Source organism: Homo sapiens, chromosome 2, assembly GCF_000001405.40.
Source record: "Homo sapiens chromosome 2, GRCh38.p14 Primary Assembly".
Classification (NCBI taxonomy): domain Eukaryota; kingdom Metazoa; phylum Chordata; class Mammalia; order Primates; family Hominidae; genus Homo; species Homo sapiens.
Window position 1 is genome coordinate 36,826,926 of NC_000002.12, and position 7,597 is coordinate 36,834,522.

The 7,597-nt window shown below is 37.5% G+C and overlaps 1 annotated feature.

Annotated features, from left to right (window-relative positions):
* Positions 561 to 855: a silencer, noted in NCBI's record as "tiled region #5815; HepG2 Repressive non-DNase unmatched - State 21:Repr". NCBI's record gives its function as "represses a minimal TATA promoter and a strong SV40 promoter by Sharpr-MPRA in HepG2 cells {active_cell/tissue: HepG2}" and the evidence as "EXISTENCE:reporter gene assay evidence [ECO:0000049][PMID:27701403]".

The window sequence follows — 7,597 nt, forward strand, 5'->3', positions numbered from 1 at the left end:
AGAAGTGAAACAACTTGTCCCAGGGCCACACCTCTGTTTTTGTCTTTTTGTTTTTGTTTTTTTAAAGGTTATCTTGGATTCAGAAACACATCTGTTAAATGTCAGGTTCCAAACCAAGTCTGTCTCTGGAAAATTATTTAAGTAAATACAACAAAATTGTACACTGACATTTTGAAGAAAAAGTAACACCAATTTTTTAAGGTTTGCTCCTCATAGAAGAACACACATGACACTAATGAGCTAAAAGTCATGGAACAAAATCAGGTGAAGTTAAGAAGACAGTTCAAATTTATAAATTCGGAATAACGGAGTGAAAATGAAATAAGGATGTCTAAAATGTGAAGTCAGGAATACAGAATTAATTAAAGAATACTGTTTTAGAACTTTCCAAACAGTATTTATAGAAACTTCTCAAATGACTTGATTAGAATAACTTTCTTGGAAGAGGCAAGAAATCTTGTACTCTTTTCTCACTGAAGAACCACATTAGACGTTACTTGTTTTTGGAAACAACACCATCAGCTTGTAGGAACTAGGCATTTCTCATTAACCACAGACTTCTTTTAAAATTTTTCCTGGGTGAAATGCGGCATTATAAGTCCATTCCTTGACCTATTCTGGCAGGAGCTCGTCTGGAGAGCCTGCAGAACAGACTTCAGGAGCGTGTCTCTAAGCAGTAGAAAGCCTTCTTAAAAATCAGACAAGTGACTGCTACACAATCTGATGTGTCAGAAAGGAGAGAGCCTATAACAAATTCCAGGAATAACTTATTGATAAGTCCCATTTACAGAAATGGGAGGTGGTGACTGAGGTCAAGCTGACAATAACTTGTATTTCTCCATATTCTTAGCACCTAGCAGCCTGAGTGTGGGATATTCACTCTCACTTTTATCTGAACCACATATATTCATGAAAATACTCATACTCTGTGTCTAGATTATACTATACTCTTCTGCATCTTTTAAGATAAGCATTCGGTTTTTCTACCGTAGTCTGTTGATGTGGTGAATAACACTGATTTTCAAATGTTGAAACACCTTTACAAGGATAAACTTCACTTAGTCATGCTGTATCATCCTTTTTATATATTGTTTGATTTGATTTGCTAAATTTTATTAAATATTTTTATATCTATGTTCATGAGGGATATTGACCTATAGTTGTCTTGCAATGACTTTTTCTTGTTTTGGTATGATGGTAATAAATGTAGGCCACATAGAATAAGTTAGGGAATGTTCCCCCTTCAATTTTAAAGAAGAGTTTGTATAGAATTAGTACTAGTCATTCTTTGTTTGGTAGAATTCCTCAATGAACTATCTGGGTCTGGAGTTTTCTTCACAGGAAGGTTTTAAACAAACAGTTCTATTTCTTTAATAGCTATAGGGCTATTCAGATTATCTATTTCTTCTTTAGTGAGCTTTGTCTTTTAAGGATGTGTCCATTTCATCTAAGTTGAATTTATTGGCATAAAGTTGTTTATAAGATTTTCTATAACCCTTTTAATGTCTCTAAAATATGTAATGATGTTCTCTTTCTCATATCTGATTTATTAATTTGTGTATTTTCTCATTTTACTCCTGATAGGTCTGGCTATATGTCTATAAATTTTATTTATCTTTTCAAAAAAAACAGCTTATATTTTCATTGATTTGTTCTTTTGTTTCCCTGTTTTGTAATATAGTGACTTCTGTTCTTTATCATTGTCTTTGTCCTGTTTACTTTATTTTATTTTTACCTTTCTTTTTATAACTTCTCTAAGTGGAAACTGAGGTCATTGAATTGAGAGAAGTTTAGAATTTAGAGTTATACGGGAGTTAGAAATTTCTCTTAAGCATTGCTTTAGCTGCATCTTGCAAATTTTGGCATGTTGTGTTTTCATTTTTGTTCAGTTCAAAATACTTTTAAATTTCCCTTTTGATTTTTATTTGACCCTTAGTTTGTTTAGAAGTTGGTTAGTTAGCTTTAAATATTTGGGAATTTTCCAGATAACTTTATTTTATTGACTTCTAATTTAGTTTCACTGTGGTCAGAGAACATACCTTTTATGATTTAAATGGTTTTTAAATTATTAAGGCTTTTTTATAGCCTAAAATATGATCTATCGCGGTAATTATTCTTGGCATTGGGGAGAAATGTGTATTCTGCTGTTGTTGCATGGAGTAGTCTATATATATCAATTAGGTCAAGTCAGTTGGTAGTGTTGATTCAAGTTTTCTACATCCTGACTGATTTCCTGTCTACTTATCCTATAAATTATTGAGAGAGGGATGTTGAAGTCTCCAACTGTAATTATGAGTTTATTTCTCTCTTCAATTCTGTCAGATTTTCTACATGAATTTGAAGTCTCTGTTATTAGACACATAAATTTTGGGGATTGTTAGGTTCTCTTGATGAATTGACCTCTATTTTGAAATAAATATTTTTATCCTTGGTAGTATTCTTTTCTCTAAAATTTATTTTGTGTGATATTAATACAGCCACTGAAACTTTATTTTATTTTTTATTTTTTGAGACAGAGTCTTGCCCTGTCGCCCAGGCTGGAGTGCAGTGGTGCAATCTCGACTCACTGGAACCTCCAACTCCCAGATTCAAGTGATTCTCCTGCCTCAGCCTCCTGAGTAGCTAGGATTACAGGTGTGCACCACCAAGCCTGGCTAATTTGTATATTTTTAGCAGTCCAGCCAATAAGTTACCACTTTAAAAAAGTATAGGTGGCCAGGAGCAGTGGCTCATACCTGTAATCCCAGCACTTTGGGAGGCCAAGGTGGGTGGATCACAAGGTCAGGATCTCGAGACCAGCCTAGCCAACATGGTGAAACCCCATCTCTACTAAAAATACAAAAATTAGCTGGGTGTGTTGGCATGCATCTGTAAATTCCAGCTACTTGGGAGGCTGAGGCATGAGAATCGCTTGAACCCAGGAGGCAGAGATTGCGGTGACCCTAGATCATGTTACTGCACTCTAGCCTGGACAACAGAGTGAGACTTCATCTCAAAAATAATAATAATAATAATAATAACAATAATAATAACGTGGTTACTTATGTTTAAGAGTATACATCTATAACTTGTGGCCAGGTGCAGTGGCTCACGCCTGTAATCCCAGCACTTTGAAAGGAGGCCAAGGTGGGTGGATCACGAGGTCAGGAAATCGAGACCATCCTGGCTAACACGGTGAAACCCCATCTCTATGGCTAACACGGTGAAACCCTATCTCTACTAAAAATACAAAAAAAAAAATTAGCCAGATGTGGTGGCGAGCACCTGTAGTCCCAGGTATTTAGGGAGGCTGAGGCGGGAGAATGGTGTGAACCCGGAGTTGGAGCTTGCAGTGAGCCAAGATGGTGCCACTGCACTCCAGCCTGGGCAACAGAGCGAGACTCCATCTCAAAAAAAAAAAAAAAAAAAAAAAAGGAGTAACATCTATAACTTGTTATAGTCTACGTGTAGTATAAGATCTTCACAACAGTATACTTCCATTTCTCCTCTGTCCAGCCTTTATGTTGTTGTCATATATTTTACTTCTACATTTTGTAAACTTCTATACATTTTTATTAGTTTTGCCTTAAAGAGTCAATTATCCTTTAAAGTGATTTTAAGAGTAAGAAAATTTAATTTTTATTTATCCAGATATTTACCATTCCCACAGCTCTTCATCTCTTTGTGGAGATCCAGATTTCTATCTGGTGTAACTTTTCTTCTGCCTGAAGGACTTCCTTTAAAACATCTATAGTGATGAATATTTTCAGTTCTTGTATTTCTGAAAAGCTCTTTATTTTGCCTTTGTTTCCACAGGATATTTTTATTGGGTGTAGAATTTTAAGTTGATAGTTTTGTTTTTTCTATTCAGTACTTTAAAGATGTGCCTCCACTGTCTTCTGGTTTGCATTGCTTCTGAGGAGAAGCCTGACATGATTTTTATCTTTTTCCTTCTGTACATGTTTCTTTTCCTTTGTTTTTAAAATTTTCTCTTATTCACTGGCTTTAAGCAATTTGATTATTATGATGTGTTTTTATGTAATTTTTTCTTTCTTCCTTTTTTTCTTGTGTTTGTTTGGGGTTCACCGAATGTCTTGGATCTGTAAATTTATAGTTTTTGTGATATTTGGGAAATTTTTAACCATTATGCCTCATGTTATATGAGATTTTCCTCTGCGGCTGGTGGAAACATTAACTATTCTCAGCCCTATGCAACATAAGGAGACTGTTCTTCCTGCACCTTTTGGGTAACTCTTTCCCCAGCCTCTGATAGGTTGCTCACATCCTGTACTTATCAGTACTCAGCTGAAGACAGGGTAGAGTTCAGTTCAGATCTCCAGAACTCTCTTGTGGTATTCTTCCCTGCAAACGCTAGTTACTTTGGCCTTTGCAAACTCCCAACTCTGTATTCTCAACTCACAGAAACCTCTATAGTCTGCCTGGGTTGTCCCTTCCTGCACTGAATCATGAACACTCTCTCTGAGCAGTAGACTGGGAAATTAGTTTCCTCTCTCACAGGGGCTATTGTCTTGTGCTACCTGTTTTTCAATGCCTGAAACCTGCTTCTATTGTTCTGTTTTCTCTCTTTTATGAAAAATTGTTTAAGAGAGGAAGATCATTCTAGTCCTTGTTACTCCATATTGCTTAGAAACAGAATTTGGTCTTTAAGAGCAAAAGAATTCCACTTTTCATACAAGATGTGGGAATTTTTATATTGGTTAGCCCAAAGAAGCTTATTTTTATGACTTTTTTTTTTTTTTTTTTTTTTTTTTTGAGATGGAGTTTTGCTGTTGTTGCCCAGGCTGGAGTGCAATGGCGCCATCTCGGCTCACCGTAACCTACGCCTCCTGTGTTCAAGCGATTCTCCTCCCTCAGCCTCCCGAGTAGCTGGGATTACAGGCATATGCCACAACGCCCAGCTAATTTTTGTATTTTTAGTAGAGACGGGATTTCGCCATGTTGGTCAAGCTGGTCTCGAGCTCCTGACCTCAGGTGATCCGCCCGCCTCGGCCTCCCAAAGTGCTGGGATTACAAGCGTGAGCCGCTGCGCACGGCCATGACGTTTCTTAAGTACTTTCAATATCTTCAGGAAGGTGACCCATCCTCTTCTAAGTTGTGAGAGATAATCCACTTGGAGGAGAAAGATTACGGGAAGAATCATCTGAAGTAAAATTTAAATACAACCTTAGGGACATACTCAGGGATATAAGCAGGAAGGTAGAGTTCTTCAGAATTTGCATAACACGAAGTCTATTAACCAGAGCTTGATGTTTGATCATTCTTCAAATAGTAGTGAGTGAATTCCAAGCCGAAAATTGACAAGATTAGAATGATTGTGATGTACCATGAAGGAAGCAGATGTCGCATTTGGAAGGTGACTTTAGCCACTGTTTTTTATTATTATTTTTTCCTTAATTTTTTTTTTATTTCAATAGATTTTTGGGGAACAGGTGGAGTTTGGTTACATGAACAAGTTCTTTAGTGGTGATTTCTGAGATTTTGGTTCACCCATCACCGGAGCAGTATACACTGTACCCAATGTGTAGTCTTTTATCCCTCACCCCCCTCCCACCCTTTCCGCTGAGTCCCCGGAGTCCCCAAAAGTCCATTGTATCATTCTTAGTCCTTTGTGTCCTCATAGCTTAGCTCCCACTTATGAGTGAGAACATATGATGTTTGGTTTTCCATTCTAAGTGAAATGAGTTACTTCACTTAGAAAATGATCTCTAATTCCATCCAGTCTCCTGGCAATGCCGTTATTTCATTCCTTTTTATGGCGAGTAGTGTTCCATGGTGTATATATATACCACATTTTTTTTTTAATTTCACTTTAAGTTCCAAGATACACGTGCACGATGTGCAGGTTTGTTACATAGGTATACATGAGCCATGGTGGTTTGCCACACCTATCAACCTGTCATCTAGGTTTTAAGCCCCACATGCATTAGGTGTTTGTCCTAATGCTATCCCTCCCCTTCCCCTAACCCCGACAGGCCCCAGCGTTTGTTGTACCCCTCCCTGTGTCCATGTGTTCTCATTGTTCAACTCCCACTTATGAGTGAGAACATGCAGTGTTTGGTTTTCTGTTCCATGTTAGTTTGCTGAGAATGATGGCTTCCAGCTTCATCCATGTCCCTGCAAAGGACATGATCTCATTCTTTTTTATGGCTGCATAATATTCTATGGTGTATATGTGCCACTTTTTCTTTATCTAATCTATCATTGATGGGCATTTGGGTTAGTTCCAAGTCTTTGCTACTGTAAATAGTGCTGCAATAAACCTATGTGTGCATGTGTCTTTATAGCAGAATGACTTATAATCCTTTGGGTATGTACCCAGTAATGGGATTGCTGGGTCAAATTGTATTTCTTTCTGGTTCTAGATCCTTGAGGAATTGCCACAGTGTCTTCCACAATGATTGAACCAGTTTACACTCCCACCAACAGTGTAAAAGCGTTCCTATTTCTCCATATCCTCTCCAGCATCTATTGTTTCCTGACTTTTTAATAATCGCCATTCTGACTGGAGCGAGATGGTATCTCATTGTGGTTTTGATTTGCTTTTCTCTAATGACCAGTGATGACCTTTTTTTATGTCTGTTGGTGGCATAAATGTCTTCTTTTGAGAAGTGTCTGTTCATATCTTTTGCCCACTTTTTGATGGGGTTGTTTTTTTCTTGTAAATTTGTTTAAGTTCCTTGTAGATTCCAGATACTAGACCTTTCTCAGATGGATAGATTGCAAAATTTTTCTTCTATTCTGTAGGTGAAGCACTGTTTTCAAGAGTCAGGATATTAGGACTTGGTCTACAAATTACATTTATTACTTTTTATAATCAGGATGGGGGAGATATTAAAAGATGAACTTAGGTGCATAAAAATTTTAATGAGTTTATTTGAGCATTCAGCAATTCCTAAATCAGGCATCACCAGATTGCAAGCAGTTCAGCACTCCACTGAGGAGGTAAAAAGGTATAAGGTGTTTGTGATGGTTAATATTGAGTGTCTAGTTGATTGGATTAAGGATGCAATATTGATCCTGGGTGTGTCTGAGAGGGTGTTGCCAAAGGAGATGAACATTTGAGTCAGTGGGCAGGGAAAGGCAGACCCACCCTTAATCAGGTGGGCACCATCTAATCAGCCACCAGCGAATATAAAACAGGCAGAAAAATGTGAAGTGACAAAATGGGCCTAGCTTCCCGGCCTACATCTTTCAACCATGCTGAATGCTTCCTGCCCTCAAACATCAGACTCCAAGTTTTGGAACTTGGACTGGCTTTCCTTGCTCCTGAGCTGGCAGATGGCCTATTGTGAGACCTTGTGAGTTTAAGAATTAATACTTAATAAACTCCCATATATATATAATATGTATACACACACACACACACACATATATATATATATCTTACTAGTTCTGTCCCTCTAAAAGAACCGTGACTAATACAGTATTCAACGAAGCAAGATGAGGAAAATAACTGCTTGGTTAAAGTGGACAGTCCCTAATTAGAGGTTAGTTGGCAGTTTCTGATTGGTTAAGTTTCATTTTACTGTGTACATTGTGCTTACATAAGAACCCAAGGTGCTGGAGGTGTCTCAGCCTAATGGCTCCCAATTAATTA